Source organism: Homo sapiens, chromosome 16 (assembly GCF_000001405.40).
Source record: "Homo sapiens chromosome 16, GRCh38.p14 Primary Assembly".
Taxonomy (NCBI): Eukaryota; Metazoa; Chordata; class Mammalia; order Primates; family Hominidae; genus Homo; species Homo sapiens.
In genome coordinates, this window is record NC_000016.10 from 54,072,817 (window position 1) to 54,089,880 (window position 17,064).

The 17,064-nt window shown below is 39.0% G+C and overlaps 1 protein-coding gene across 13 annotated transcripts in view; it reads left to right on the plus strand.

The window, feature by feature from the left end:
* Positions 1-17,064, plus strand: part of FTO (FTO alpha-ketoglutarate dependent dioxygenase) — a 417,979-nt gene that overhangs the window by 368,854 nt on the left and 32,061 nt on the right. The gene's annotated exons all lie outside the window — the stretch shown is intronic.

Sequence of the window (17,064 nt, forward strand, 5' to 3'; positions counted from 1 at the left end):
GACTCGGTCAGAAAGAAGGGCTGGCCCTTGTTTTTACCATCTGCCACTGGACATACATCTAAATCATCCCCTGCTATTAAAAAATGAAGAAACCTGTGGCTGGACTAGTTCTTAAACTTCATGTTTTGCAATATTCCTTAACATTGACAGTTACAAAGAATTATTCTGGTTGGAGTTTAAAGAGAGAAGGACCTTATTAGGCTGTAGTTGGGTATTCTGGGATATGCGAAATCAAGTGAGTTAAAACACTAGGCACATAGTAGGTTCTCAATCAATAAACCAATAATTGTTGATCCACCAAAAATTCACCTTTCTTCCTCTCCTACGTGTCCTGTTGCGTCCCTATTCAAGCATTCTCTGCCTCCCCATCCATCAAGTAGACTCAAGAAAATGGCCTTCTCAAGGGATGGGACACCTTTCTTCCCAAATGGAATCCAACAGGAAAGAGAAAATATAGAAGTGAGGGTACCAGGCAGGAGGCAGATTAAGTTCAGAGAATCTGATGTCTCTCTTCTCTGACTCTTTAGTAGGCAAATTAATTAAGTTTTACTTTTGGAGTGAAAAATTCTAAGACTTTGAAACATCTCTCCTCAGCAAGTTTATAATGGTCTTCATCTTCAGGATCAGGCTTGGCGTGGGTTTTCAGGAACGTGTGTGGCCCTGAGTTAAAGTCAGTGGCTTTTTTAAAATAGTCCCCGAGAAAGGAAGGCAGAAAGTCCCACCTCCCCCATGTGTATTTTGGGATTAGGAAAGCTAGTGGTTACTGGGAGGAGCTCTCTCTCTTCTCTCTCTCTCTCTCCCCTTTTTTTTTTTGAGGAGGGAGGTAGAGACTGTCTCAATGTGTTGTTCTCAAACTCCTAGCCTCAAGCTCTCCTCCCACCTCAGCCTCCCAAAGTGTTGGGATTACAAGCATGTGCATTGCACCCAGCCCAGGAACTCTTCTTTCTAATATGAGTATTTATAGAATACTCATGTACAGAATTTTCATTCTATAGATTTAAAGAATAAAAATTTATAGAATACTCATTTATAGACTCCCATCTATAGAATATTAAAATCAAAATTGAGTGCAAATTCAGGGCCGATTTGTGTTTCTTCTATCAGCAGTTGTTAACAACCAATTGTTTGCACCAAACCCAAGGGCTTGATTTCCCTTGGCACTAAATGTTATGTTTTGGGTGTCTTATAGTCTGTCCTGTGAGTTAACATTGTACAATAAACTGTTTTATCAGGACTTGCTGATCATCCTGCCTGCTAGTTCTACCCTCGAAAACTGTTTTTTTTAATGCTTATTTCAATACTTCTGTGAAATTTGACGTTATGAAGATATCCCCAAACTCTTCTCCAAAAAAAAAAGCAGAAATTTACTTATATCTAAGGTTACTTTTCCTAAGCCAAGTGATTCAGAAACTTTTAGGAAATAATTTTGAGGCTAAATATTTCTGGGTTTGCTTTTTTAATTAACATGTTTTAAATTAGCATGTAATCTGTCTTCATTAAAGACATGTTTTGAAAATTCAGAGAAGTATAAAACAGAAAGGAAAAGTCTCCTGTAAGCCTACCACCTTGGGTACCACTAGGAATATTTGAGCCTGTTGCCTCCCAGTCTGTTTTTAATGCATATATACTTGTATATATACTTTTTAAAGCAATATTAGGATCATAATATTTTATAACTTTTGCCTCTTTTCACTTACTATATCATAAGCAGGTTTTCTTATCTTTAAATATTCCTTGGGAACATGATTATTAAGGGAAACTAGAATTCCCTTGTATGGATATGCCATAATTTATTTAACTTTTCTCCTATCATTAGACATTTAGGTTGTTTCCTATTTTTTTCCCTATCATATAAAATGCTGGGATGAATATCCTTGTCTAAAAATTTTGTGTGAATCTTTATCACCTAAGGATAGATTCCTAGAAATTGAATTACCGAGCCAAGGATTCACACATTTTTAAGGCTCTACCACATACTGCAAAATGTTCTTCCAAAAAGTGCAACAAGTTATATAGGCTCCCCAAGTAGCCAGTGAGCATACCTGTTTTTCTGTAGCTTTAACCAGAACTGGAAAGAGGGAGAGAGAGAGAGAGAGAGAGAGTGTGTGTGTGTGTGTGTGTGTGTGTGTGTGTGTGTGTAAACTGTTTTAGTTTGATAGTTTAGAAAACCAGCACAGTATCTTTTTGATTTAATTTGCATTCTTTTGATAATGAATGAGGTAGCAGTATTTTCTTATATTTAAAGGCTATTTCTATTTCTTCGTTTGTGAAATACTTGTTCATGTCGTTTGCCCATTTTGGGGGAATGCTTGGCTTTTTCTAATTGATTCAAATATTTTTTTCTTTTTAATTAAGAATTGTGGCCCTTTTTCATAGAAGATCAGATTAGATTGTTAGAGATCATTAGATTGGATTTTTCATGTAGACATGAAGTTATACTTGGAATATCTGTTGGTAATGGCAATATTATTAACGTACTTTTTACTTTTAAAAATGGTTTGTTCGCCTCTGATAAAAAAGATATATGAAAAAGAATCTGACAGTGTCAATCCAGCTCTCGTTAACTATCCCAGGACGCTACCAGCATTTTATTACAGTTGTCAAGAAAAAAGAAAACCAACAATTTTATTGTTTTGATTATTGAGATCCAGCCACAGATCAACTGAGCAATTAAAATCTCTAAATAACGTTCTCTGAATTGTCAAACAAAGGATTAGTTCCCGGTGGAAAGGACTTTTCTAAAAGATGATAGTTTTCTCTGTAATGTCTGTGCCAGTAAATGGTTGCACTAATTGGAGTATACAGAAATATTTTACTAGTTTAACAATGCATGACATCCTAATAAGATTGTGATGACAAGCTTTTCTTTTTATGAAAGGTGATGTCACCGCATGCTTCTAATATACATGGACTCATGTGTCTTTTTGTGACATGCTATAAATGAAATTTTTCGATGAAATTAATCTGTTTTACTAAATCTTTACTGTATGTGAAATTATTTCTTTAAGCAGGGCAACAGAGTCTTGATGCTTGTTTTTATTTATAGTTCTTAGAATAATATATTTTAAGGAATCTTAGAGTTGAGTAGAAAGGATCACAATTAAATGCATATTAAAATGCTTGTCCCAAATCCCATGAATCTGTCACTAGAATATGCGAGGCCGGATTCCCCATCTTCCCCTAGCTCAGGTGGCTAGCCGAGTGCAGGCTTGGGACGGTTAATGACAATCCTCCAAGACAAGCAGGACTTAACATCAATATCCCTCTTCCTGATAATCTGTATACTCTAGAGGTGGTGAGCTCTGGCAGGGTTTTGATGATTTTATGATGGCTTGTGTATATTTATAGTGTGTTTAAAATACTCTTTTTAGTTATCATTTGAGTGACACAACTTAATCTTTCGATCTTTACCTGCACCTCCTGGTGATGTGTGTTTGTTAGGTAACTAAAAAGAGGAAATTAAGCAAAGCCAGAGCTTTATGCCAGCAGTAGGACTGAGGAGTCAATAGATGATTAACCTGCCTTTCTCCTCTTCATGAGAATAAAGGAGTCACTTTTTCAGAGCAGCACCCTAGAAACATATAATAGCTATGCAGAAATGGGCAACATTTGAGTTCCACAAAGCAAGTATACAGGGAAAAGAATAGCAGGAAATCATTTGAATGCTGTTCTTTAAACACACTGATCTATACCCCCGTTGAAACTGTCTGTGACAGTCAGTGTCTTTTGCGTTTTATATACACATATGTGTTTGTATGTATATGCATATATATGTGTATACATATATGCCATATATGTATATATTATGTACATATAAATTATGTGGGTGTAAGCAGCATACGTGATTGGATGCTGATATTTTGTTAGATTTTAGGGACTTAAATAAACAGGATATAATCATAATCTTAGTCTATCAAAGCCACACCTTAAATGCATCCCTGTATCATTTCATTTGAAAAGGCATGAAAGGCCAGGGTAATTAGTCCTTACTGCAGATGAGTAAAGGCATCTGTGTTAATAATGGATGCTTAGGATTTTGAATTAAATATTGAACCTCTGGCTTGCTTTTCCCAAACGATGAGGCATAACCACCACTCTTTTTGAAAGCTCTTATTTTTTATATTATGGGTCAAAATTTTAAGCAAAAGCTGAGGAAAACAACTTCAGTTAATCGGCCTATGTGATTATTTGACATATGTGATTAACTGACTGAGGTAAGGAGCGTCATTATTATATCATAATCATCATTATATATAAAGGAACTCCAGGCTAAGACTGCCCTCAAAGAAATCTTAAAAATCATGGATTGATTTGCAGATTTAGTGGGATATGAAAAGCTGATGTTGTGCCTGAATAAGATAAGCATTCTTTATTAGATTGTAGTGGAGAAAGCCCTCACGTGGCCATGTGATTTTATTGACAGCTCAGAACCAAAGACCATAAATTCTGTCAGGCAATATACTGTCCTAGGAAATGGACATCACAGATGCCAAAGCGGCCTTTGGGGGCCCAGTAAACGCTGTGTGGAGTCAAGTGAAGAATTAAGCCCCAGACCAAGCCCAGTACCTGCATGGTTATATTTTTTAGCTGGTATTGGTGAGGCTTGGCTGTCGTTTGTAACACATCCGTGCCCCTGGAGCAGCTTTTCTCTGACATCACCTGTGAGTCACAGTAAAGGCCCAGTAGTCATCCTGAAGCCGCCTCCCCCACCAAGCTACTAACATCAAAATGATGTTTCTCATATGATTGCCACCTTAAGACACGGGCAGCGGTAGGACAATGTGAAGTTTGTGCCCAAAGTTCAGCCAGACAGGAAAGGAAGCTTCCTGAGTCCCCTCAGTCAGGCAGGCAAGTGTTCATGTTCAGAGAAATCATCAAATGCAGAGAGGAAAGAATGGTGAGCTGAAACAATCAGATGGCAGGGGGGCAGGTCAGGGTGGGGAGCTGAGTCAGAAGGAAGAGGTAGGCAAGGCCTGGAGGCCAGAATGGCAGGCAGTCGGATCAAGAATCCAGATTAGTGGATTTGGGAAGAGAAGATCAGAGACTCAGAAGGGGTCAGGAACCCGGACCAGAGTGACTTAACCATAAAAAGTAGAAATCTGGTTAAGAGGTGGGCCCTTAAGAGAGTGACATACCAAGGATGGGGCAGTGGGGGCAGTCCATTTTAGCTCCCCGGCCCCACCCCCATCCATGCTGGTGACAAGGGGGTGCACTGTCTGTCGAAAAACTTCCAAACAATAATAAAACTAAGAGTCAGTCTGCTTTTTATTATCCCCTTTCACCATCAGTTGTGATCAATGTAAAAATCCTTCCTAACAAAATCTTCCGTTGGTCTAAATTCTAAACAGTGTTCAAAGTTACATCTAAAGTTTACATATACAAATACACATATATGTATATGTAAACTTATATACAAATACACATATATGTATATGTAAACTTATAAACTTAGTAAAGGATATGTTACTAAAATGTGCTAATTTGAAGTGTGTGTGTGTAAATATATATATTATTTAGTAAAATAGTATATAATTATATATAATATTCTAAATATATATTAGTAAAATAATAAATATAATATTTATAATATACATAAATTATAAATATATATTTGCACACACACACTTCAAATTAGCACATTTTAGTAACATATCCCTTACTAAATACTGTGTTCTTCATGGATGCAGAGTTCTCAGTTACACAGTCAGCTGCTGACACACACACAGTCAGCTACACATGCTCGTTTCTGGAGTCAATTCATTACCATTTGGATTGTTTTGAGTGCACTTCAGATAGAGTTTGTGTCTCCAGTGACTGTAGTGCCACATCTTTCTGCATCTGAACAGTAGATTCAAAATCAATAGTGATTAAGATGAAGAAACAACATTTGGGGTATTTCAGCTCTTTCCTACCATGTGAGCACTTGAAGTTTTTCTTTTTGTTTAAACTCTAAAACAGAAAGGCCAGGTATGGTGGTTCACGCCTGGTGGGTCACTTGAGGCCAGAAGTTTGAGACCAGCCTCAGCAACATGGCAAAACCCTGTCTCTACTAAAAATACAAAAAATAAAATTTAAAAATTTAAAAAAATCTAAAACAGAGAAACAGTTTATAAACTACTCAGTGTAATATTTTCATTTGGTAAATGAACATGTTCTTCTCTACATAAAATATTTAGCTGAATTTCAATAATGTTTTTAAGTTGAAATTTATTTTTCAATAGTTAAGAAAATTGTTTTTTAACAATTAATTTGATTGTTAAAACTAAATAATAAATTTTAGAAAACATTATTACTGACTATTATGTGACAGTTATTGGGAATAATTTGTTATAAAAGACAGATAGGTAAAAAATAATCTGCTTCAACTGTCAGATATGCTAGGTACGCCCTTAGAGATGGGGTAGTATTTATGAAGATCTAGTGAGTTCAGTGCCTGCTGACATAATCAGTGGTAATAAGGTAATACAAGCACAGGATGGCCAAACCAAGAATGAAGCTTGATTCTGAGCTTTATGAACTGGCATCGTCCTACGTTTTCTGGGTCTGAACTGGCCTCAAAGTGAAGCCAGGGCTGAAGCCACAGAAGAAAATACATAAGTAAATTTTACTAGAGTTAGGGAATAGAAACAAACGACGAACAGACTTACTGTTGATGGCAGCCACTAGAAGAAAAACACATAGATGCTACCCAAGTAATTGCTGCGGGATTGGGAAACGCATGAGACTATGGTAAAGCAGCTCCAAGGCCCTGAACTAAAACTGCAGGAAGTGCAATAGAGAGGCAACCCACGGGGTGAGGGGCCACACTAAATGGGCAGGCTCTATTATAGCCCAATAGACCGAATAGGACCTGGTGATAAATAGGAACGAAGCAGGCCGCACAGAGAGAGCCTGGACGAGTTTCAAACTGGAACGTGTATGTCCTATCTAAGGAGGCAGTCGCGACTCGGCTCTGGCCAGTTACCGTCATGGCAGAGTATTGGCCCAGATAAGCAGATCTTCCCATTTTTCAAGCAGAGTCAAAAATCTGGACTTTTTATTAAGATCTCTATTTATTTTTCTCTTCTTTTTAGGAACTAATTCACATTTTTTAAATATTGCAAGAGTCATTACTATTTAGGCCAAAATAAATACCTGTAGATTTAATGTAGCCCCTGAGCCACCATTTTGTCTCCTCTGAGCCAGAGCCTTAACCTGTTCCAGTTGAATCTGTTGGTCGCTCTCCATACCAGTCATAAGATAGTTTTCATGCTTTAGGCTATTAGGTTTAATAATCATAAGAAGAGTAGGCCAGGCATGGTGGCTCACGTCTGTAATCCCAGCACTTTGGGAGGCTGAAACAGGAGGATTGCTTGAGGCCAGGCATTCAAGACCAGCCTGGTTAACAAAGCAAGACCCTGTCTCTAAAAAAAGCAAAGAAAAGTAGAAGCATTCCTGAATATTACAGACAGTAACAGAATGGCTATCACAACAGTCACAGCTTGCAGACACCAAGCTCCTCAGAAAATATTCTACTAATAATAATAGTTGTCATTGGGCTAGTCACTGAGTGCCAGGCATTGTGCTATACATTTTGCATTCACGATCTCGTTGAGTCCTTACAGTAGCTCTATGAAATGGATACTTGTGTCTGCATTTACAGATAAAGAAACTTAGCAAAGTTTTATAATTTTCCCACGTTCAGTTGTACAGTCAGGACTTCAATCAAAGCCTCTCTTGAACTGAGCCTAAATTGCCGATGGTGAGGGGACTCTGTTAGCTAAACTGAGGAACCACAGGCAGGGTGGCCTTGAATTTCAGGCTGAAGGACCCATCACCCAAGAGTCTTGGCAGCTTCCTCAGCAAAGATGAATGGGCTTGTTAGGTGGTTTTTGTTACCTGATCAGTAATTGTTTCAACACTAGAGTTTGTCGTTACTGTTGTCCTGTTATGAAGAATTCTCTTTAACAAAACTCATGGGAAAAGGGACTGACTCATGTGCAGTTTGGCCTGAAGCATTTGCGTCAGTATTCTGCTCCTGGAAGAGTATACTTTGACTTATGCATTGCTTGCTTAATAGACCACAAAAGTCAACATCCCTCTGGAAGAACAGCTCGTGCTTGGAGGCGTCACAAGCTCCAAAAGATCCTGTTAAGGCAGGATGTAGTGTGAAACCCACAAGCGAAGCAAAACCCCGTGTCCCCTAATTATAATGTTAATATTTAAGAAAGCTTCAGAGGCTGCCTCTGTGCTTTATGCCTAAAAAGGAGTTGGGATTTTTTTTCCCCCTTTTGCTTTTCAGACCTGGAATCGCATCAATATTTTTTTTCAACAAAAGAATGTGTCTCTTGTCCCCAGGTATGGCAAGGGTACAAAGAAGCCAACTTGTAGAGGGGAGAGAGAAGAGGTAACTGACAGAGTCAGAGCACGTTGGAAAGTGATACGAGAACAGGGGCTTATGGTTACAGCCCTACCCCCTTTCCAAAGAAGGCGATTAGATATTATTTCAGATAGTTTCTCACTGTGTCCTAATTTCATTTTCCAGCAACCCTGTGGCAGGTCCCCAGTTTTTCTTGGACTTATGTGATTAGCTAAACTAGCCATGCAGGTATTGGCATTACACTCACAGATATGAAATCCAGCCTGACACCCAATCAGGACACATTCTTGAGTGGCTGTGTGGCCCCAGAGTCTCCCACTGTCTTCCACTTATGCACAGTGTATCTAAATAGACACTGGCCATGTTCAGTCCACCCTAAACCCTTGTGTCAATAGCCAAAGAGGAATCAGATTTGAAGCCAAAATAACAAGCACTATATATAAATTACTAAACGCCCCCAAACACTATGGCATTGTTTGGAGATAGGGCATGTGTAGGAATAGTAGGAGGCACCTAATCAGAAATTCAAAATGAACAGCCTCACCGAACAGATGGGCAGAGTCTATGGACTTTCCTTCCTTCAGGAGAGGATGGGCCATTATTTAAATTTATATACAGTGGAAGCCACTAGAACCCCATTCTGATGATTAAATCTGGATGATCATAATATCCAGATGCATTAAACAATGACCTTCTCAAATCATAACGGAACAGAGATGTCACGTGGCTCTGGCCAAGGACGTAAGTGAGTTCGTTCAACAGGCATTTTAGTTCTGGTGCCAGGTCATTGGGGACAGAGCAGAGATACAGCCTGATTTTCCTCAGCATCTACCGCCCCGTCAGACAGGGGGCAATAATTCTTCTCCCTTAGTTAAACTCTGCCCCACACCCTGTTTATCTGAAAAATTACTCCAGTCAGATTCTCCTACTTAAATATTCATGAAGATGTTATGAGGACTATATGATGTCAAGTAAAGGGACATGGCTTTTGTGAAATTCTATTTAAACTGTTGAAATGAGGGTGGTGTCACTCTCTCCAAACTTTCCAGTTCCCTCCAATAAACCTGTAGAAAGCAGACCACCAGATGTTTCAAACAGTTTGGATCCCAATTCCACTTGATTCTTGCTCCAGAAGCTGAGAACTTAGGAGCAACTTCCTGTGGAAACCAACATTCCCACCAATACCAAAGTTTTATAATATGTAGAAAACATGACCTCTAAGAAATGCATGTCAAGTGCAGCCTGGGGCTTGGGGTGTCCAGTCCAGAAATCTGCCTTTGGTTAAGGTATTAGAAGATTAGGGAGTTACTCAAATTGTCCTTAACATTGTTTTCATATGTGTTATGGGCCACGCATGCTCCATGACTTTTATAACTTATGTACTCTCATAGACCTACAGGAGAGTCCTTCTTCCACCTCAGGGTTTGCTGATAGCCTAGATGGTAGAATTGCAGTAAGGTTAAACAGATGTAGGGCCTCATATTGCTTCTCATACAATTTTAAGAATCCTTAAAGTCAGTTTTCATGGTAAGCAAACTTTAATTTAAAAACTTTGAGATAGGAGGGATCATTCTTCATTCAGTTCATCCAGGTTCAAGGACTCCTTTTGGTTGCAACTGACCCGCCATGCTGCTTCAGAAGAAACCCTTTAAAAACAAACTTCCTGAGAAGAGAAAAGGGTTACAATTTAGGAGCTTTTTAAGAATTACCTTTGGGTTTTTCCAAGCTCTCCTCTTGAGTAGAAAACAGGACATGTCACAGATATATATTTTCTTAATTGTAAAAAGTAAATACTCTAAAATGTATTTTTTTCATTGTGATTATGTTACAGTGGTTTCTATGTACCATAGATTAGATTTTTATTAAGGGTTTTATTAAATAACTGGTGTTTCACCAACATCTAATTAAATCTTCTATCTAAATTGAACAGAAAATTATGGGGGGAAAAGAAAGCATTTGTAGCAGACTTTATTACAGATAAGACTATTATTTGTTCATCTTAAGAATTTGAGATCAAATTTACAAGCAGCATCCTCATCGAATTTCTTTTCTGGGCTGCTGAGCCCTGGCCCCTTGAAAGCAGCCCATTATCTCCTCACCTCCCCCCATTTTATTATAGTGTCCTGGTTGTTGGCAACACGCCCGCTGTTTAAGGTTACTTTCATTAATTAACCGAAAGTTAATTTCTTTGCAAGCAAAATCTCTGATCTCATTATGTTGTCTTTAAAGCCGAAAGCTTCAGGTTTTCTGGTCTCCTTTGATGACACAATAAAAAGCATGCTCTTTATCTTAAGGGAAACTGTCTCCAGGGTTTCATTTAATAGTCCTTGAAATAGTTACAGCACAGCCAGGCAGACTACAATAATATGCCAGTTTTAGAAAACCTTGGCTTTGTCATGGTTAGAGAGCCCAGTGACTGATGTGAGCTACGGTGGATCCATTTCCGAAGAAGTTCTGCACTTTGCCTCGAGTCCCATTTTTACACACGACACCGCCCTCCCTACCGCCATTATGGAGCCTATTTGAGAACAGACCAACACCAACACCAGCATCCTTCCAAAGTGCACCACTGCCCAGCCATTTTACTCTCTGGGATTTTGGAAAGTTTGCGGGGGCTGGCATTTTGTCTGTTTGCCTTTACTAAGCTATCTTTTGTTCCTCTGGTGGAAGCAAGGCAACATTGGGTGGTACCAAGAGTTTGGGGTAGTGCTTTTGGAGCCTGGCAGGCCTGGATTTGAATCCCAGCCTTTCCATGTACAGGTTAAGCATCCCTAATCCAAAATCTGAAATCCGAAATGCTCCAAAATCCAAAACTTTTTGAGCACCAGCATGATGCTGAAAGGAAATGCCCATTGGAGCATTTCAGATTTTGGATTTTGAATTAGTGATGCTCAGCCAGTGAGTATAATGCAAATATTCCCAAATCTGAAAAAGTCTGAAGTCTGAAACTCTTCTTGTCCCAAGCATTTCAGAGAAGGGATATTCAACCTGTACTGGCTCTCTGTCCTTGAACGTGTTATTTAACCCTTCTGAGCTTCAGTTTCCTCATTAGTAAACTTTAAATGATTATGTAAAGAGAATTAAATGAGATAAAACAAAGTAGCAGGTACTTGACAAATGTTACTCCCCTTCCTTTGACAGTCCTGTTCTAGTCTTTTCCAAGGACAAATGTGTTTCTAGAGATGGAGTTCATCCTGATATTTGGGGGCTGGCCTACGTACAGATTGCTATACCAGAAGGAGCAGTTTGGGGGAGACAGTCAGATTCCACAGAGCATGTTTTGGTGTGGATTGGATGAGTTAGGTTCTGTATTGCCCCACATGACCTTTTACAGACATGGGGACTTAAACAGTGTATTTTCTTTGTCTCTCTGCGTTAGCTTCATCTTCAGTGATGAAATCTTGTTGCTTCCTGAAGCATTAAATTCAGTGAGTTGAGAGTGGCCAAAATGTCTTTTCAGAGCCACCAGGTGTAGGTCACACAGAGGGGACAGAACTCTTCAGGTGGCTCAAGTCTCAGGAGCAATCTAGATACAGGGAGAAGCCATTTGTATCCCACTGAGTCCTGTGATGCTGCACACACACAGCTGAGATTTACAGAGGCCGGGCGGGGAGGGCTGCTGAGAGGGGGTAATGGCATGACCTGCCATGCTGCTTCAGATGCCTGGGAGACTGGGTCTGTGCCATTTGCATATGTCCTCTGTACCCATTCCTGATGAAGGATGCAATTGACTCAACTCAAGCAGGTCAAAATCACTTAGGCAGAAAATCCCAGGCCTTGGGAAGAAAAGTCATGTGCCTCTTGGGCCCTTGGCAGAAGTCAAAGGTCCAAGGTAATGTATTGGCAAAGATCCTGTCTGCTTTGGTGCCTTACTTACTGCTCCCTAATGCTTTTAGGTGGAAATATTGTCAACGCTATTGATTAGTTGATCTGATAATCCAGCAGGCTCCCTGATGTGTTAAATTTCCTACTTTTGGAGGACTATAAGTATGGGCAGAGTGTATACTTCTGTAGGAAAGAACTCTCAGTGGACCTTGCTAAGACACTGCTTCTACAGCGAGATTGCTACAGGCATGACAATTCCAATTATTCTTTTGGCTGTGACATTTAACCCTTCCCAAGACAAATTTTCTATAGTTATCCATTTTTTCCAGCCTTCCTTTAGATTTTGGAAAAACACTTTGTCTTCTGCATTGGGCCTGTAGGGTCTCTTGATTTATTAGCATGGTTTACCTGTACGTTTTTAGATTTTTATTTTTTAGTTTATTATGAGTACATTCCATTATCTAGATCTTTCCCTCCTTCACATGCCCTCCATGGCCAAAATCATATTTGCCTTTCTCCTTGTCTTTTACCATCTTTAAACATTCCATCAGCCATGTCCCTCATTTTTAAAGTATATAGCAACTTCATGAAGGATATATAATTCATAATGTGTAGATATCAAAAGAAAAGGTGACCTTAGGCCAAGGCAGTGGAATTTTCTGTAAGTAAGGAGCATAGAGATGATATATAAACATAGTGATGACAAATAAGCATTGAAGTTTGTTTGCAGATTGTTTGTTTAGAGCTTGGTCTGGAATAGCAAGAAACCTACATACCCTCCGACTCGTCTCGCTGTAGTTGTTGGTTATTCACCGCACCCTCTCTCTGGCTTCAGTCTCCAAGCCCTTCAGCCTTGTTGAAAGGGTCTAGAGGTACCCTTGCACATCCAAAGGCCACTTGGACAAATGATGCCTTCAGCTTTTGGGGTCCACAGTGCCATTTCTTCTACATCCCAGCTTACTATGCTTGACTTCAGTTATATTCCCCAGTACCAAGAACGCAGGAGGACTACTTTAATCCCCTTTGCAAAATAACAACAACAATAAGGCCTCCAGGCAGAGCACATTGAGCCTAATTCAGATTTTTTTTAAAGTGGAAAACAAATCATAAATACCTGAGAAATCAGGTTCATAATGGAAGCCCCACGAAACCCCTTAACCTGGGCAAAATCCTATAACACAATTATATAAAATTTCACACCTGACTGAAGCTGTTATTGGAACAAAAATAACCATTTTTCTGCTCGTGCTAAATGAACCACAAGACCCATGTATCCAGCCACAGAAAAACACAAGATTGCCCATTCCATCTGCATATAATCAGCATACTTGCTGGCAAGGGCACTGCAGGATCAAAAGAGTTAATAATTGGATCCTGCCCACAGCAACCACACAATTAAGGACAAGATTAGCAGAGATGAGGAATTTATGGTGAAAATGCAATGATAGTCTGAAAAACAAAATGATTTCACCGAGCAGTTGTTCTGTTGCCATAATCCTAATGATCAACTCTATTACACCAATAATAGGAGAAAAACTAATTGCAGTGAGGACAGGACAAATCTTTTTAAATCTGCATTGTCTTCCCAACTAAGTCCCAACCCATTTGTATTAACCTTTGCTGACAGAGTCACATGATGGACATAATTTCTTATAATTTACCAGCTATGGATCTAACCTTTCTTCATCAAATATTCATAAAGGCAGGATTCTCAATGATTTTCTGTCTCTCTTCAATTTAGAGCTTGTTGTCTTCTTTCTTACAGTAATTTGGACACAATTGAAGTCAAATGGAATTAAAGTTAAATGCCTTTAGCAACTGAGGTGCCTAAAAGCAAACACTTAGGGGAGGGGTCGTGAACTGAACGGGGAGAGCTTGTATTCCCAAGACCCTCCACGTCCCAAAGGAGTTCAGTGGGCTGCCGGCCCCCATAAGGAAAAAGCAAACTCAGCCAGAGAATGAGATGCCATTGCTTTCTCTTGGACTTGCTTGGGCCTCTTGTGCTGGGTGCTCTGTAGCTGAGTTAAAACTGAGAGCCCAAGGCCTTCCCCTGTCTTCAAGGCTTGCCAGGAACTTAGGCTGCCATGACCAGGCCCTGTTTGAGCATGTGTGCCCAGCAGGGTGCAAGGAACATGCCAGGGGCTAGAATAGTGGACAAGAAAAGTTGGTTGGTACAGTTACTTAGAAAACAAGCGTGAACACCTAAAACCATTCCTGAAAGCGTTTTTGGTTTCTAGAAAAACATCTGTTTCCACTTTGCATCTTTGTTGCTTTGACACTTTTCTTAACAGGGATGTAGATAGGAAAAAGTCTTCTAAAGCTTAGATGTTTAAAATAAGTATAGTAAATGGTCCTTTACTCTTCCCGTCGCAAGGCTTCAGTTTTACTGGGATGGCAGAAGTTTGGGGAAGGTGAGATAGACAATCAAAAGAACTCCCTTTTTCTACTCCAATCCTCAGACAGCCCTACCTTTACTACAATGGCAAGGAATGTTGTAAATTCTCCCTCAAGATGCAAAGGAGGCCAAGCACAGTGGCTCACACCTGTAATCCCGGCATTTTGGGAGGCCAGAGAGGAAAGATCACTGAACCAACAAGTTCGAGACCAGCCTGGAAAACATAGCAAGACCCCATCTCTACAAAAAATTTAAAAATTAGCTGGATGTGGTGGCATGCTCCTGTAGTCCTAGCTACTCAGGAGGCTGAGGCAGGAGGATTGCTTGAGCCCTGGAGTTCACAGTGAGCTATGATCACGCCACTGCACTCCAGCCTGGGAAACCGAGTGAGACCCTATCTCTAAAAAGACAAAGAAATTTACAAAAACAAGATGCAAAGAAATTGTTTCACCTAGTTGACTTCAAAGTACTGTATTGACCAAGCCAAGAATTTACTTCTTGCTAAGTTCCCAGAATTTTATTAGAAAGGAAATGAGAATTGAAGGCAGTTGTAATCTTTAACAGCTGATTCATGTCTGCAGCTAAGGTATTTAGTTCTAGTCACCACCATTTTTAGCATCTTTATCAATTTTTAACTGTACAAGTAATGCACAATACATTCACTTTGTAAAAATTAAAACTTTATAGATAAGGGTAAAGTCTTTTGACCACTGCTTCCAAACATAGACCTTCTTGCCCTTCCAAATATTCTTCTATGCATTTACAGACATACATGTATCCAACGACAAACATATGTTTTCCTTATTTGTTTTACATAAGTGGTTATTATGCCATACAAATCAATACCCACATTGCGTTTTTACTCAATAATATGCCTTATGTTTAGAAATCTTTCCATGTTAGAACATATCAATCTATTCTTTCAGAGAAGTCCATATACTGTAATTTAGTATCATTCCTTCAGTGATGGATTTTGCTTCCAGGTTTTCAGATTATAAGCAATTCTGCAAAATGTCATTATCTGGTTGGAACTAAGTTCATATAATTGTCTTAATGGCATGCTTAACTAGCTTTTGCAAGTACAGTTTTCTTCAGTATGTTTCTACTGACCTGATCATTCAAAACACTCTTTTAATGTTTTCTACCAAGCCACACCTCCTTCTTGATGGTAAGGACAAAAACAACTATGAGATATTTCGTATTTTGAATGCCCCACAAATAAACAGATATTCCAAATACGGCAGTGAATTAAATGTTTTCAATAGGGGGAAAATGAGAATCTCCTGTCAGAAATGCCCAAGGAAAGGTTGTTATGAAAGGAAAACATCATTATGGCAAGTTTCTTGTTACACAAATTCGGTTATACAGATCAGACCATGTCCCTTGAACTACCACTGCACACTGGGAAAATTCATTCATTCATAGTAGCGTCCTTCCACACAGTATTCAGTTTTCCATTTACCTTGTTTGCTAACACCCACGTTATAAAGAGTTGTCACTGATTACATAAAGGATGGTTTGCCAATCAGGATATGCATACATGGCCTCGATAACCATCCTTCAGTCCAATATAAATCTCTTACAAATCCAATAGGAGATGGCAGGAAGTTCTTTTGAAGAATGAGAAAATTTTTCCAGGAAGGTTTGAGGGCGAATTCCGTGAGAAGTTTTTCACCAGGGATCTCAGGTACTGTCATTCCTCTGGACAGGAATTGAGTAGGTGCTGAGATACTCACCAGTTAATTGCCTTTGGGTTAGTGGAAGAAGTAAGTCACCTAGCCAGATCTTATGCATTTGCACAAGTAGAGAATGGAAACTTCCAATCTGAGTGAGTTTAATTAAAGATTCTAGAATATTTTTAAAACAGTTCACACTAATTACTTTTAGTTTAGGGAATAACTCAAAGTTGGGTTAATTGTGTTGTCAGTTAGTGAAAACCAACAACTGACTTGAGAATGGCAGAGATAGGGAAACAGTCCTTCCAGAGTGTAAGAGATACTGGATATCTCATATTCCTTCAGCTCCAATTTGTGCTGTTAATTGGCTCAGTCTTTCATTCTATACTGAGCACTCATATCTGCATCTTATAAAAAGGGAAGTTGGGAGACACGGTTAAGAGTTAATGGAAAAAACAGATAAATTGGACTTCATCAGAATTACAAACTCTTATGCATCAAGAATGCTACCAAGGTGAAAAAAATAGCGTATAGAATGGAAGAAAATATTGCAAATCATATAATCTGATAAAAGTTTAATGTCCAGAGTATGTAAAGAGTGCCTAAAACTCAATAACAGGAAGACAATCTAATTTTTAAAATGAGCGAAGGATTTCATTAGACATTTCTCCAAAGAAGATATATAAATGGCAAATAAATACATGAAAAGATCCTTAACATCATTAGTCAATAGAGAAATGCAAATCGAAACCTCAAGGAGAGATTACTTCACACCTACTGGGATGGCAATTAAAAAAAAAAAAAGAAAA